Source organism: Homo sapiens, chromosome 12 (assembly GCF_000001405.40).
Source record: "Homo sapiens chromosome 12, GRCh38.p14 Primary Assembly".
NCBI classification, from domain to species: domain Eukaryota; kingdom Metazoa; phylum Chordata; class Mammalia; order Primates; family Hominidae; genus Homo; species Homo sapiens.
The window spans coordinates 29660514-29677669 of NC_000012.12; the positions used below are offsets into that span (position 1 = coordinate 29660514).

At 40.9% G+C, this 17156-nt stretch overlaps 1 protein-coding gene across 10 annotated transcripts in view, besides 1 other annotated feature; it reads right to left on the bottom strand.

Moving 5' to 3' along the window:
* Positions 1 to 17156, bottom strand: part of TMTC1 (transmembrane O-mannosyltransferase targeting cadherins 1) — a 283947-nt gene that overhangs the window by 159701 nt on the left and 107090 nt on the right. For 5 of the 10 annotated variants that reach the window (XM_047429634.1, XM_017020004.2, XM_017020003.2 and 2 more), the window contains one exon: positions 291 to 372. The exons of 4 other annotated variants lie outside the window; for them this stretch is intronic. In XM_047429634.1, coding sequence (XP_047285590.1) covers positions 291 to 372 — 82 coding nt within the window. Of the gene's footprint in view, positions 1 to 290; positions 373 to 800; positions 890 to 17156 lie in introns of those variants that run through there. One more of the 10 variants, XM_017020007.3, reaches the window with a different exon arrangement.
* Positions 2198 to 2699: an enhancer, noted in NCBI's record as "NANOG hESC enhancer chr12:29815644-29816145 (GRCh37/hg19 assembly coordinates)". NCBI's record gives its function as "activates a minimal SCP1, AML or CMV promoter by ChIP-STARR-seq in naive H9 embryonic stem cells {active_cell/tissue: H9 hESC(naive)}" and the evidence as "EXISTENCE:reporter gene assay evidence [ECO:0000049][PMID:30033119]".

Consider the following 17156-nt stretch of genomic DNA (forward strand, 5'->3'; position numbering starts at 1 on the left):
TGCCTCCTCTTGAGACAACTCAGCCTCAGCATCTTGAAAGGGACTCATAGAATACTGCAGTTCACATTGTCCACATCATTAAATCCACATATCCCTGGAATGCTTTCATATATACCTTTGGACGCTTTGTAACATTACGGCATGCCAACTGTTTGATCCCAATGTCATGATGTTAGAGTCTATTGCTGATTCTATTAAATAATTTGAATTACATGTCTGAGCTGAGATAGAGTGGAAACATTCCTTATCAGATATTTCAAAAGTATATATATATATATATATATACTTACATAACTTAGGACCAAAATGGCCCTTTTTAAAAATGGTCTCATGGTAAGCAGGAAATTTCTATTGCTGCTTGCTCTCAGATACCTAAAACGGGAAAGAAAAAAAATCTTAGATAAGTGTGTCTACCAGACACAATGTTCTCCTTTCAAGGTGAAGACGCTGCAGCTCTGAAGAAGGCTGCAGAGAACAATGCTGAGAGCAGGGCCTCTGGAGCCAGAACACCTGGGTTTCCGTTCCCAGTTCTGCTGCTGCTGAGAGCCCAGGAGACCTCGGGCAAGTTTCCGAACCTCTTTGCACATCTATTTTACTCACTTATAAAAGGGAGACAATAATAGTATCTACCTCACAGGAAAGTTGGGAGGAACAAATGAGATAATATCTAGAACAGGACTCAGCTCTGTTAGCTATAAATATTACTATCCCATCGAATCCCAAATAACCCAGTCATTTTGAAAACAATACAGTTACACTGGTCACAGGGATAATCTTAAACAAAATAAGAGTTTATTTACCTACTTAATATAATTTGAAGGCTCCAATGTCTTCCATCCACAAAATACCTCACAGATCTCTTACCTCTAAAAATAGAAGATGCCAAGGTTGTAGGAGGTTAAGTAATTTTTTTTTTTTTTTTTTTTTGAGACGGAGTTTTGCTCGTCGCCCAGGCTGGAGTGCAGTGGTGCGATCTCAGCTCACTGCAACCTCCACCTCCCAGGTTCAAGCGATTCTCATGCCTCAGCCTCCCGAGTAGTTGGGACTACAGGTACTTTTTGTATTTTTAGTATTTTTGTATTTTTAGTATTTTTGTATTTTTAGTACAGATGGCGTTTTGCCATGTTGGCCAGGCTGGTCTTGAACTCCTGACCTCAGGTGATCCACCCACCTCAGCCTCCCAAAGTGCTGAGATTACAGGCGTGAGCCACTGCACCCACTCAGTTAAATAATTTTTTTAAGGCAACAAAGTTATGAGTATCTGTGTTAGGATTAGAGCTCACTGGTATCCAGTGAATAATTTTCTCACCTCCCTGTGGTTCTTGGAACCAAACTAGGTTACAAGAACGTCAGCTTCTAGAGGGGCAGGAACCTGTGTGGATCCTGCCCTGCTGTAGCTTACTCACTTATAGGAATTGGGAGTTCTGGATATCTACATATAAGACAAGTGGTTGGCTGGTTTTAGAAAAAGATGATGAAAGGGAATCAAGAGACGGTATTAAGAAGCCCCAAATGAAAACATAAAATAAGTCATAAGTCATTTTCACCTACATGCAAAATTCTACACGGAAAATACAGAATGGAGGGGGAAAACAAAAGTCAAATCAAATAGCATAAACCGCAAGCACTTCCCACCTCATCCTTATTTCCTCTATCCCTTTTCATTGTTTTTTTCTCCTTTTTAAATCCAATTTTTCCTCAAAGGGGTTTTCCCCAACAAAATTTGCATTAAAATCTGCATGAGGTCTCTTTACACAAAGGTAATGTTCTATAAGGTAAGAAATCCTTTTGTAAAAACCAGAGTGGGTTAATATCTCACAAAGAAATGTCTATCCACCTTGAGGATTGCTTACAATGGCCAGGTGAGGTGGCTCACGCCTGTAATCCCAGCACTTTGGGAGGCGGAGGCAGGCGGATCACGAGGTCAGGAGTTCGAGACCAGCCTGGTCAATATGGTGAAACCCCATCTCTATTAAAAATACAAAAATTAGCCAGGCGTGGTGGCAGACACCTGTAGTCCCAGCTACTCGGAAGGCTGAGACAGAAGAATCATTTGAACCCGGGAGGCGGAGGTTGCAGTGAGCCGAGATCGTGCCACTACACTCCAGCTTGGGTGACAGTCCAGCTTGGGTGACAGAGCGAGACTCCGTCTCAAAAAAAAAAAAAAAAAAAAAGAGGATTGCTTACAAAACACATGTGGCTCCTCTGCTTTGTAACAAATGGTACTGTGAGGAGGTGAGAGCCTCACGCTTCCTTCTCACCTCTCTTTTCCTCTGCCTGGTCCATAAAGAGCTGTGGAAGTGATACATGCTCAGATCTGGCCGTTCAAGTATTTAATGAGTGGAGAAAACGAGGAGTCCAAAAAACACAAAAGAGAGTTGGCTTTTAGCAAGCTCTGGACTGGATCCATCCTCAAGCACTGCATTTAAATCCCTTTCATCTTCCTTAGCTGCCAACAGAGAGCTTGACAAGAAAGAACACCAGGGATACTGTCAGCTCTCACAACCCACGGGGATAGCTACTGTCCCAAAATGGGCTTTAGGGGGTCCGCTGCTTCCTGAAATTTACACAAGATTTTGTGTGTATTTTTCTGAGGCAAAGTCCTTGACTTCGATCTTTAGTGTCAACTGGGTTCTTCGTTGCCTAAAAGGTAAAGCCCTGCTCAGCGTCCTTCTCTCAGCTCTGCCTCTATTGTGACTATTATTTTCAGGCCAACTCAACCACGACCACTCTGGTTATTTCTGCTGTTCCTTTTCAGGATGTATCAATGGCAGCAGAAAGGCAAAGAGAATGACACAGTGGAAATGGAAAAGGTGCTGGGGAGGGCTGGAGAAGTAATACATCTGAATAAAAAGGCACTTTCTGGGGTGATCTGCTTCTGGAAACGTCCTTCCTCAAGTTCCCTCTGTTGCCTGTTTATTTTAACATAGTGGAAAAATTAGCAGTGGTTTTCCTTTCTATAGAACAACAAACCACAAAGTTTAGGATATTTTTAGGTAAATTTTCCTTTTCTTTTTTCTGAAACAGAGTCTTACTCTTGTCGCCCAGGCTAGAGTGTAGTGGCGTGATCTCAGCTCACTGCAACTTCTGCCTCCCGGGTTCAAGCTATTCTCCTGCCTCATCCTCATGAGTAGCTAGGATTACAGGAGCCCGCCACCATGCCTGGCTAATATTTGTACTTTTAGTAGAGACAGGGTTTCGCCATGTTGGCCAGGCTGGTCTCAAACTCCTGACCTCAGGTGATCCACCCACCTCGGCCTCTCAAAGTGCTGGGATTACAGGCGTGAGCCACCACACCCAGCCAATTCTCCATATTTTGTTTCTCTGAAAGCTTGCTATGATGGCTATTTCACTGAGTCATATTTGTAAAGTGTCCCCTGGTTTCCTGAGAAAGTCCATTTCTCAAGAAGCTAAAGGCACCAAATAATTTATTGTTAAAATGTAGCGGCGGATCACGAGGTCAGGAGATCGAGACCATCCCGGCTAAAACGGTGAAACCCCGTCTCTACTAAAAATACAAAAAATTAGCCGGGCGTAGTGGCGGGCGCCTGTAGTCCCAGCTACTTGGGAGGCTGAGGAAGGAGAATGGCGTGAACCCGGGAGGCGGAGCTTGCAGTGAGCCGAGATCCCGCCACTGCACTCCAGCCTGGGCGACAGAGCGAGACTCCGTCTCAAAAAAATAAAAATAAAAAATAAAAAAATAAAAAAATAAAAAAAATAAAATAAAATAAAATGTAGCATCCCAATGTAATGAAAGCCTAAATTGGTAAAGAGAGCAGTGGACGAAAAAAAAAGATGACCTCTTCAAGATTTCTATTTCTAGTTGTTGACCAATAGTAAATGAGAAAGTAACCCAAAATAACATGGCCCTCTTTTTTGGTAAACACTAGGTCAGAGGCTGAGATCCCTAAGCTCAGACAGGAGCACTCTAAGGGCTAAATTCTCTGCATCTTTTCCTCTTCCCCTACCCACACCAAAAATAAACAAACTTTCCCCATCAGTCCAATACACACGATCTGTGAAGTAGAACCAAATAACAACACTCAATAACAATACTATTAACAGCAATAATAAAAATAGCAACAACTAATATGTCCCAGACACTAATCTAAGTGATTTGAGTGTAGTAACTTATTCACCACTTACAACAATTCCATGAGGAAGAACATTATAATTTCTTTCTTCTAAAGGAGGAGAACATAAAACTGGAAATAATACTTAACTATGACATCAGATTCTCTCAGCTATTCATTGCAACTATAAGATAAAGTACCTAAAATTGTCTTCAAATACAATTTACTATGTAAATGCTATTACTATTTTTTTCTAATTCCAGTCAAGTTCTCCATTCTTTTCCTTGCAAAGCCAGAGAACATGTCAACAACAAAACCAGACCACTGATGAAACCAACAGAATGAGAACTAAGGGTCCAGGGTTCTATTCCTCTGATCCCATCTAACTTGTCACATGATGTAAAATAAATCTACCTGAGCTTTACTTCCTTCCTTTATTAATGAATGTTAGACCAAATGGTCTCAGGGTCAGTTTTAGGTCTAAAATATTGTGATCCTTGGATGTTCTCACCAACTGATGACACCAAAACTGACGAAGGAAAAACGAAGAAACTACCCAATTTCAAAAAAAAAGAGAAAGGAATGTCAAGGGATTCGTGAAAAGTCAAATATTAGTTGACCCTTCACCTGGAGGAGGCCCTTCAAAATTTGAAGTTGCATATGAAAAAACAGTTGAACATTAATCGAGGGTATTGGCATCAAGGTTATTGGCATTGTAAAACAGTATTTGTAACAACTTCTGATTCTTGCCAAATAAAAGCAAAAGACTAAGGTTAGCCATAGTAAATTCCCTAATCTACGCTCCCACATACCCAAATTTTCTGACTACTCACATCCACCATCCCAGTATATCATGTTCAAATAAAGGTCAAGTTTACCATCCATAGTTACTTGGTCCTCAAATCCTATTGAGAGATATTAGCAGAGATCAGAACAACCAGCCAACCATAATCATCTACCCACCCATAATCTTGAGAACTAAATAAATGCTTATTATAAATCAATGACCTTTGTTAACACAGAATTATCACGTCAATAAATAATTGATCATATGACAAAGTTTCTTTGTTTGACCAAAACCTAGTCAGGTTCCTGAACCTTCTCCTAGGCCCATCTGTGTACTTTCTTGTAAAATCCAGTCTTAGCGAGAATCCCGCTAAATCAGTTTAGCCAGAAACCCCCACCATCAGAGCTGATCACTGTCAATATCTAATCAAGTTTTTCATCCTCCACCGTCTCCCAGGAGATGTCTCATCACCCTGGCCTATCTTTAGGAATAATCCTGTTAGGTCTATTTAGCCAGAATTCTCCCTTATTCATGATGTTTTCTCTTAGTAATTTTCCATCCACTGATGCCCCCCCAACCCACCACACCCTGCTCACTGGCTATAAATTCCCACTTGTCCATGCTATATTCAGAGTTAAGCCCCAACTCTCTCCACTACTGCAAAATTCCATCACAGTGGTCTCCGTATCAATTGCAACAGACCCATCCTCACCTTAAGGTTTTCCTTACAGTGCTTTAACAAGTGTTATTTGAATATTTTTAACACATATAGCAAGATGATCAATAAATGCTTACTGAGCCAAATCAAATTGTAAACATCTACCCCTTTTCTTTTCTTTCTTTTTTTCTTTTTTCTTTTTTTTTTTTTTTTGGAGACGGAGTCTCGCTCTGTCACCCAGGCTGGAGTGCAGTGGCACAATCTCGGCTCACTGCAAGCTCCGCTTCCTGGGTTCATGCCATTTTCCTGCCTCAGCCTCCTGAGTAGCTGGGACTACCACCATGCCTGGCTAATTTTTTTTTTGTTGTTGTTGTTGTATTTTTAGTAGAGACGGGGTTTCACTGTGTTAGCCAGGATGGTCTCGATCTCCTGACCTCGTGATCCACCCGCCTCTGCCTCCCAAAGTGCTGGGATTACAGGTGTGAGCCACCACACCCGGCCTACCCCTTTTCTTTTTCTGTGTTTTCCTTACCCTCTCGTGGTAGATCAGGGTACAAAATAAAAGTGCTCACAGTTTGGAATGTGGCAGCAAGTTGGAAGAGAAAAACCACTTTCCACTGGAAATGGTAATAGTGCCATTTCCCTTACCCGGAATACTAATGATTTCAATGAAGATATGAAATTAGTCTTTCCAGCTGTTCTCAGAATCTATAAACACCTGATAATTTTTGCCTAAATGTCAGCTCCAGGTAGCAAACATCTCAGATACAATGAATTGTAACTGTTTAACATTATAGCAACAAATCATAAACAGTGATATATGAAATTTCTTCTAGAACATCAATCTTAATTGACTTAACTTCCTTTGCTCTTTCAACGCAAAAAGGAAATTAGTAAAGAGTCACATATTCAGATCAAAAAAATGTTTTGGAATCAGAGCTTTTTCAACAGAAATGCAGATTTACTGCTTCTCTTTGAAACTCAAGAAAAAAGATTTCTCAGTTGATCAGAATATAGCAAAGACACAGCTCACATCAGAAAAAAAGCAAAAGCTTAACAAAAACAACAAAAGAATTTTAAGTGTCTTTTGACACTTAACAATAAAGGAAACTTAAGTGTTTATGGGTTCTCTCTTTAATGTACTTTCCTTGAACCCATGAAGTGCCTCGTCTAAACCTTAATAGGCAAAGGCATTCCATGGAGGAGTCGAACAACCTTTGATGTCTCCTTTGATATTCAAATAAAGATTCTGAAGGAAAGGAGCTCACTATTCTAAGAAAACAATGATGCATATTTCAGTTCTATCTACTCAGAAACTCAGACTGACCTTCAATACCCCATTCTAAGGCTATGATAAATTTTCCTTCCAGAAATTTTAAACTCTGAATTCAAGTTACTTCCAAGGAAACAGTTACTTCAATTATCATATATTAAACGGTGAAAATGACGACAAAGAAGCCATAGGAGAAAATAATTTCAGTTCTCTTAACCATTCTGCAAATTAAAGTTAGAGGTGAAAGGAATCAAAACAGCTCATGTAGTTTTATAATGAGGGAAAAAAATGATGCCCAGAAATGTTACTTGGCCTGCAAAAAGGTCATGATGTTTCAGTGTCAAAGGTCAATGAGTTTAAGCTTCATCAATTTACTTAGAGGACCTTATTTTTATTCCCTCTATGATTAATTTAGTTGGAGGCCCTAGTTTTTTATTCCTTCTACAACTAATAGCAAAAATTTCAGACATCACCCTTGTCTCTCATTAACAGTCCCAGGGAAGTTTCAATTCATTAGTGATGGCAGGTACTGAATCCATTTAATAGGCACTAATCACTGTGCTAAGCACCTTACCATTTTTATTTCATACTAGCCCTGTGAGTCCATACTTGTCCCTGTCTTGCAAATGAGGCGGAGGAGGTACTTACTCAGGGATCTCATGGCTGGCAAGAGGCAAAGGTGAGACCCAAATCTAAATCCAAATCAAGCATTCACTACTCTGTACAGCACAGAAGTAAAATAGAGCTGGTTTATTCAGCATGTTTCCAACACAGATCATTGTTAAACTGCATTTCTGCATGTTAACAACACAATGACTTCTGTCTTAGTCTGTTCATGGTGCTGTAATAAAATACCACAGACTGAGTAACTTACAAAGAACAGAAATTTATTTCTTCTAGTCCTGGAGGCTGGAGAGTGCAAGATCAAGGCACCAGCATCTGGGAGGCCTGGTGAAGGCCTTCTTGCTGCATCCTCGCATGGCAGAAGAGCAGAAAAGCAAGAGACATAAACTCTCTCTGAAGCCTCTTTTACAAGGGCGTTGACTAATGCACCTCCCAGAAGGCCTCACTCTTAATACTACCACAATGGGGATTAAGTTTCAATGCAAATTTTGGAAGGGATTCCACATTCAAACCATACCAACTTATCTTTTTTTTTTTTTTTTTTTTTTTTGAGATGGAGTCCCACTCTGTCACCCAGGCTGGAGTGCAGTGGCACGATCTCAGCTCACTGCAACCTCCAACTCCCAGGTTCAAGTGATCCTCCTGCCTCAGCCCCTCTAGTAGCTGGGATTACAGGCACATGCCACCATGCCTGGCTAATTTTTGTACTTTTAGTAGAGACAGGGTTTTGCCATGTTGGCCAGGCTGGTCTTGAACTCCTGACCTCAGGTGATCCACCCACCTTGGCCTCCCAAAGTGCTGGGATTACAGGCATGAGCCACTGCTCCTGGCCCCAGCTTCTAATTAATTAAAAGTGATAAAGATCATTTCAATATCTTCTTCAGTTCATACAGTTCTACAATGAAGGCTTTTCATACAAATGAATGAAGTTAACAGTGCACAATTTTTGAAAGTCCTTTTAATAAGCACGCTTTTAAAAGTTAACGCATGTAGTGATTGCTGCAGGTTGAAACACAAGTGCCATCCATGTACCGTGGACTCAGAAATTCTAAGTGAGAAAAAATGGTAAGAAGGAGAATGAGCAGAGCTGGGAGGGCGTCACTGTGTGGTGAGATGGCCAACCAGCCTGTCCCACAGAGAGAAGCAACCAGCAGAAACAGGGAGTGGGACAGATGAGGATGCTCCAAGTGACAAATGTAGCTGACACCTGAGGAAGATGAGAAGTGAATTAGGTGCAAAGAGATAGAATATGATATATATACAGAGGCCTAAGATTGAGAGGGCAAGCTCAGAGGGAGAAAGTGAAAGAAGTCCATATGGCTGGAAGATCTAATACTGGTACAGTGGTGAACAGAGAGACTAAAGTGGTAGGCAGGGGCCCTTTCACTCCGGGACTTCATGGCCCATTGTGGAGTTTAGACTTTATTCTGATGGCAATGGACAGTCAGTGAAGGGCTTAACACAGAGAGATAACCCCATCTGATTTCCAATAGTGCAGTGTTAGCATTGCATGACATTGGTAGAGTGCCCACTCTGAAGTCCATAACAAAGAACAAGAGGTCCAGCAGCCTCAAGGGGGACATGGTGAACACCAGGAAGTAGACAGCTATTTTGGAAATTTCCGAGATACCAGATGTAGAAACAAATAAGAGGTTCTCGTTCAAGTAGATAGAGAGACCTTATCATAAGAATAAGTGAGAAAAGCATGTGTTACGTTTACTTAGCAGTATGATTTAGGTGTTAAGTATGTTTCTACTATAATCTTTTGTTAGTTGGTCATCAATTTGGTATATATAAAAACTTGCTACTAAGAAGAATATTTAATTTGCCAAATAAACTCCCTTTAGAAGAGGATACATAGTATGTATTTGTATGGCATTTATGTGTCAAAGAGCTTTTCGATTCATTCTAACATTTAATCTTTGAGATATATTCATGAAGTGGGCAGAACAGAGAGAACTGGCCCCATTGTACAGATTTAGACCTAGGGAGCAGTGGGTCTAGCACCAGGATTGAGTCTCCTGATGGCCAATTCAATGCCTTTTTGCTGCATCACTGGTCTCCTCTCTGACCACACATTTGCTGTGTTTTCCGTTATTTCCATCCATCCAAGTTTGTTGCAAACCAAAGACTAAATAATCCATGCAATAAAATCACTGCTACTTGCAATACACATTTGTGTAAGTGCACAAGTAGACGTTTGCACTAAGAAAAAGATTAAAACAGTCAATAGTACTATAATGATATTTTCTGATCCTTTTACTGGGATACATGGATGGATAAATTCAAGTATAATTAAGCTAGTGAAAAAGAGTATTTGATACTGGGACTGTCTGGGTAAACTAGTGAAATACATTTCCTGTTAATGACAGCAGCAAATACCATTTAATGAATACCTACTGTGCCCCAGGCATGGTTCTAATGCCTGTAATCCTTAGCACATTCCTGTCAGACGGGCACTATTAATATCTTAATGTTGCAAGTGGGGAAACTGAGGCATTAATGGTCAAATAACTTGTCCCAAGGTTCCACAGGTAGTAAGACAGGGGTGTCATAAATTCAGTCTGTGCCCTTAATCACAAAAGCTCTGCTACCTCTCACGGCATTTCCAACAAAATCTCTGTCTTTACCGTCCCAGGAGGATGCTTGAAATTCAAATACTATTCTCACAGATGTTTGTACACATCAGTGACATACATTTGAAAGGACATGAATTCAGGGTCAGTGTGGTGGCTCATGCCTGTGATCCCAGCACTGTGGGAGGCTGAGACAGGCAGACTGCTTGAGCTTAGGAGTTCCAGACCAGCCTGAGTAACACTGCAAAACCTCATCTGTATTAAAAATACAAAAAAATTAGCCTGGCATGGTGGCACATGCCTGTAGTCCCAGCTACTCAGGAAACTGAGGTGGGAGGATTGCTTGAGCCCAGAAGGTGGAGGTTTCAGTGAGCTAGCTGAGATCGTGCCACTGCATTCCAGCCTGGGCCACAGCACGAGACTCTGTCTCAAAAAAAAAGAAAAAAAAGGATAGGAATTCAGGATACCAAGATATACCTGATCCATTTAAGAAATTATCAAAAAGTCAGCCAGGCGCAGTGGCTTACGCCTGTAATCCCAGCACTTTGGGAGGCTGAGGTGGGCGGATCACGAGGTCAGGGGTGTGAGACCAGCCTGACCAGCATGGTGAAACCCCATCTCTACTAAAAATACAAAATAAAATTAGCTGGGTGTGGTGGCATGTGCCTGTAATCCCAGCTACTTAGGAGGCTGAGGCAGGAGAATCACCTGAACCTGGGAGGCCTCCGGAGGTTGCAGTGAGCAGCGATTGCACCACTGCACTCCAGCCTGGGCGACAGAGTGAGACTCCATCTTAAATAAATAAATAAATAAATAAATAAATAAATAAAAGAAATAAACAAAAAGTCTACTACAACTTTATCACTACAAAAAAAGTCAAACTATTGAAACAGCAATATTCAATTTGACAACCAAAATGTTGAACACCGAGTTAAGTCTTAGAAGCAATATAGAAAAAGCATACATGCATACATTTAACTTGTAAATTACAGAGAAAATGTATTGAGTGCATACTGTGCGACAGACACTGTTCTAAACACGCTAATTCTTTAAGTGCATACAACAACGACAACTACAAAGCAGGTGCTATTGCTATGCTCATTTTATAGACGGGGAAACTGAGGTGTAAAAAAGTGAATTCACTTGCCCAGGACCACAAAGCCAGCCATTAGCAGAACTGGGATTTGAATGTATGCATTCTGGTCCTGAGTTCACACTCAATGCTACACCATAGGGCCCTTTTTACACTTGCTGCACTACCCAGGAGGGGTGCATGTGATCAAGTACTAAAGAAAGAAATCAACATGGGCTGGAAAAGGAAGGGAAGCTGCGGGAAAGACCTAGGCCTGAAGAGACAGAGAAGATGAAAGAGTCTGGGTAGGCAAGAGGGGCCAAGGGGAGAGGTGCCCCAGGCAGCTGCACAGGGACTAGAGTGAGCACAGCCTGCTCCGAAGCAATGACAGCTCTCTGCACATACAGTATAGGCAGCCCTCTCCTCCTGTATATGGGGGCACTACTGAAAGTGTCTCAAAGTCAAGTGTCTAAAATTTGAATAAAAGAATGGTGAAGTGGAAGTTCCAATCCCTGGAAGCTTGAGCAGCAGTATGACATCCCTACATGATTGATGGTGACTCCATCTCCCTTGGCTCAGCCATCCATGATTTCACCCAGGCAGTTCACTGTCCCTTCATCCTGGCCCAGTGCTTACCTGGTGCCATCCCTGTCTTTAGGGCTCATCAAGTTCCTGCAGGAGTACACACAGAAGAAAATGTTTCCACAGCCCCCTGCCATGTTTCCAACTCTAATTTGCTCCCAAAAAGTTTCAAACCACAGGGTCAGTACCCAGGACACTGATGGGGTCCATTGCTAGTGGGAGGGGTCATTTTGTATTATAGATCAGTGCTTTGGTCTCTCCTTCATCTCTTGCATCCATGTAGAATGCAGGCCAGGTCAGTCCATTTGAATCTCTCCCCCACCTCACTTTCTATCCCACCTTTATACTGGAACATAGGCTGGGGTTTGTGCTCCAGATCCAGGCAGCTTCAATTTAGGGCAGAGAGAGGAGAAAGTCCCATTTAAACATCTACAAATTCACTTTCTCCAATCTAGTTTTCAATCTAGGGCCCTCCATAGCCCTCCTCTCACCCCATCCTCATTCACATGCTCTGAAGCAACTCTAATAACAACGACAATAAATCCAGAAGCTCTCAGACACACGTACACACTGAGTTCTCTCAGGGGCCAAGTAGGACATTTGGCATCCTGGGCTTTTCTGCAGACCACAGCTCCTCCTGAAATAGATCACTTGGCTGCACTGCAGACAAAGGCCTGCAGTAAAGTAGGTGGCCTCATAAAACGCAACACCCGTTATAAGGAGGTAAACAATGTAGAGAAAAAGAAAACTTTTCCTGGTTCAAACAAACCTATCCAGAGAACAGCTGACTTTTCTGGCCCCCACCCCTAATGCCCTTTCAATTTAAGATAGGATGGTTGACTGTCAGAGCCACAAGAGCTAGAAAGTGGGGAATCCAGTCATTGCTGCACTATATTGGCAAACACCTGTAAAATAAATTCACTTTCTTATAAAAATCTTACTTTGAGAAGATTTCAGTTTTATTTCACTTGGAACTCTATTTTTTGCATTGAGGGGAGATACATTATACTTTAAGAAAAAAGTGAAAATGTGAGGTTTCAACTCTAGTCAATTTGGTTTTATTTTCAAATTCCAATACTCACTTGCTTTGAAACTCCTGAGAAGAAAGCTATAGCTAAGATTTCAGAGTAGAAATAAGAATCACAGCCGCTCTTAGCATAGATCATACATTGCATGCAAACAACTGTCATTCAGATAACTGTCAGCATGTCAATGTTTGTGTAAAACGCTTTTCAATATTGTGAAAATCAGAAATCCATAATAATTAAGTCTACATGATTATTTTTAAAGGCATGCTTCTTATGTTCATATAATTTTTCGAACATTCTTCTAATTTCCTTCTAGACCTAAGTGACTCATTTTAAAACATAACATAAAAAGCCCAAGTAGGAAAGTTGCCAAAGGAACTAGAAATTCCAGTCTCTGTCCAATTATTCATATATGTATATTTACATATTTAATTATATTTATTTATATTTTACTTATCGTTTCCAAAGAAAAAAATTGAGAAGATAATTTTATAACATTGCATTTTGCTAAGTGTTCATTATCTCTGTGTAAGATGCTATGGCTGCCAGAGGGACTTCTTTTTTTTTTTTTTTTTTTTTTTTTCTTTTTTGAGATGGAATTTTGCTCTTGCTGCCCAGGCTGGGGTGCAATGGTGAGATCTCGGCTCACCACAACCTCTGCCTCCCAGGTTCAAGCGATTCCCCTGCCTCAGCCTCCCAAGTAGCTGGGATTTCAGGCATGTACCACCATGCCTGGCTAATTTTGTATTTCTAGTAGAGACAGGGTTTCTCCAGGTTGGTCAGGCTGGTCTCGAACTCCCAATCTCAGGTGATCTGCCAGCCTCGGCCTCCCAAAGTGCTGGGATTACAGGTGTGAGCCACCACGCCCAGCCTTGCCAGAGGGACTTCTCAGGGTCCCTTTATGTTATGCTCTCGAAGGACAGTACTCTTGACAACACAGAGGCAGCTGGTGTGGTGAAGCAACCACAGGCCCTGGGGTCACAGAGATCTGGGTTTGAATTCCAGCTCATTCAGTTATAAGCTAGGAGACTACGCAGGCCTTTTAGCCTCCCTAGGTCAAGATAATTTCCACCTTACAAAGTCATCAAAAATATTTCTATGAGATGATATATGCAAGTGTCTCACCACAGTGCCCAGCACATAAAGGTGCTCAAAGTAGCATTATTAGAATAGTAACCAGAAATCAGCTGAAAATACTAAAACCCTATGGCCTATCCTTCAAGACCAGAAAAAAACAATCAGAAACAAATGAGTAAAGGAATGCAGCTAGGATTAGTAGAGGAAAAGATTTAATCTCTCTCAAGTTCTGTCAGCTCCCTCCTTCCTGGAAGGAAAAGAAAAAAAGAACGAAATATTTTCCTAGAAGACAAAGCTATAATTCAGCATTCAACACTCTTCTTGCTGACGGGACTCCTTTAGTTCAGCTGTAAAGGTTGTCCATGCACAAGGCAGCCAGCTCAGGAGGAGGGAGGGAGGTGGCCTGTGAGGGCTCAAATCCAGCCCATGCTCTGTTCAACGACCTGTGGTGCCCAGGCACTGGCTTTACCTGCCGTAAAGAAGGGGGGGCCTTTTCCTAATTTACTCAAAAGAGCAAGAAGTGCCCACACCTCAAACATCACGCACCCACCATGCCTCATGCCCACAGTGTTTTCTATTTTGCATAAAGATCCCCAATGGGCCAGCAGCAGCCCTGATCTACTACTATGATTATTACTTAATACCCACTAGACAGCTTCATTGTCCTAATGATTTTCACAGGGGCTTGTTTAATCTAATGTTTCCATTTTCTTTGCAGCCAATTTCATTTTCTCACTGACATATTACAGCAGTGTTGCTATATTTCCAGTCACCGGACCATGTGCAAAGTAACTTAATGTTAAAATGAAGAATAACATTGGTTTCTGTCTTAATTCAGCTAAGTTTCCCTTGCAGATTCAGCATGGTACTTTGTACAGTAGTCATTTAATTCATCAAACTGTGTTTAAAAAAATCCTAACCATACAAGTCTTAACACCACATTTACAAACCCCACAAACATCAGGGCCCAATTTGAGACTGTTATTTTAACAAACACAATTTTCCTGTCCTAAACTTAACTCAAGTCCAACTGAACGTCCACTGAAAGTTTTCCAGTCTAAAGTTTCCAGATCATAGAGATTTTCATACATGAAGCTGGATTTTCATCCAGTGTGACCAACCCATTCAGTTTGCCTGGCACTAAGGAGCTTCGTGGGACACAGGACCTTCAGTACTAAAACTGGGACAATCCTGGAAAAACCTGGTCACCCTGTGTGCCATCCTCTAGTAAGCTGGTACAGTACAGTAGAATAAACTGCTAAGGAGTAGTTCTGCAAAAGTCAAAGAAAAAAGTGGTTTCTCTGTGCCCTGGACACACATGCAAATACACACACACACACACACACACACACACACACACACACACACCCTCCATGACTTTCTGTTTCTTGTGAATAAGAGTTTAATCAAAAACGAGTGTTTCTCTGGTGGAAGATATCTACTAATTGGTTCAACTTGTTAATTCTGAAAACATGAGAACTAGAATTTTCTCACCCACGCTTTCCAGCTGTCAGACAAATCTTTTCATCTAACTTGGATGAGCCAATATAAGGTATTCTTAATAGCATTGTTCCATGAAAGTAACAAAATGGAAAGGAGGGAAGGAAGAGACAAGGGTTTAATAACCATTAAGACTGTACAGAGTCCCCCTCTGTGTGCAATCAATGGAATTATAATGACTTTGTTTAGTGGATGATAAAGCTGCCTGGTTGATTCTAACAGAAGCTGATATTTCAAAAACGAAATTGAATCAAGCTTACGCCATTAATTAAAAGGAATTTGATGGTTTTCATTTTAAAGCACACCATATCTATAAAGGATGGACACAATAGTGCCTAAATAATCTTAGCTGCAAATAACCTAAACATTCAACAAAACTAAAATTCCAAAACCTCACACTTGTAATTTTGAAACATTTATCTGTTCATACACTGCTACGTGTGTCAGATATCCATTTTAATTTTTAAATATTGGTTAGGACTTAATTTAAAAGTTTGTGAGTTTTCCTATTTTATGTAACTTTCTTTTACTACCTTTTCCTTGTATATGCAAGCTTTATTGACTATAAGATTATCCAAAATGATTCCCACTCTCCTTAAATATGAAGACTCCAATTTTCTGGGTCCTATCACTATTATCAGCACTCAGTGGTCTCTTACTCTGACAAAAGAACCAAACTGTAAAAGTTAAGCGAATACTTCAGACTGACAAAAGCAATAGATGTTAATCAGGAGAGAATCAAACTCCAGAGCATATATTTTGATACATCCTTTGCTCAAGTAGGAAACCTGATGCCTGCATTCCTGCCATAGTCAGTCAGAGATCGATTTCCAGGGATCCCATCTACACTCTGCCTTCAAACGAAAGGTCACCTCCAGGAGCGATGCACTGGGCACAGTCTCTCTTCAAGACGTGAGGACACGGCAAATGGTGCTAATTCCACTAGGCAGGGGATTAAAAATCATGATTGATCACCAATTTTCTAACTAGCACTCTATGAGAAACTGATAGAAGATGATGCCCTCGTGCAGCCAAATGAAGCATTTTGTGGGCATGCTGGAATGAACCCTGAAGCCAGGCCATATCAGTGTGGGCAGTTGGGGAGTCATTAAGTCTTGACAGAGCTGGCTGGCATGCCACAGTGTGTGAAGAAGAAAAACATCCTGTCCTCCTATAATATGATTTGAGGGCCAAAATAATACAATTCACATCAGGCCCTCCAGAGGAGATGCAGACAAGGTCCAAGTCTGGTCCTTCTGTGGAAATGAAAGTACTGACAGGCACACAGATATCCCTCTGCCTAAAAGCATTTATCATTTTAAGCCATTAGGATTTTCAGTTCCACCTTCAAGAAAACAGCATAAATAAATTCACTGGCCTCTAATTTTGCTGTTTCTCTTCTTTATCTAGTCAATGTAATGGGTTTCAGGATCAAGGTTATTACAAATAAAAATAAAATCAGATTTGCAGCATGAATAACCCTTTATCTGCATGTCTGTTTAGTACCTTGTGATTTTTTTGTTGTTGTTTATTTGTTTTTGTTCTTACCACATCTTAACAGGACCAATGGGCCTACTCACTAATAAGCACATCCTGCAGTTATTTCCATACATAAAATATGTGCCATAAAATATGCATAGAAGCACAAGCAACCCAAACAAGATAAATGAATTAATCCTACTGTATGAGCCATTCTCAGACAACTAAATGATTTAATTTCTTCATTTACAAAAGACAACTATTCCATCGTTATACCGCGGTAGCCCCCTTTATCTGCAGTTTCAGTTACCTGCAGTCAATTGCCGTCCAAAAATAGGAAATGGAAAATTCCAGAAAGAAAAAATTCATAAGTTTTAAATCACATGCCTTTTAAGTTGTTCCGAGTAGCATAATGAAATCTCACATT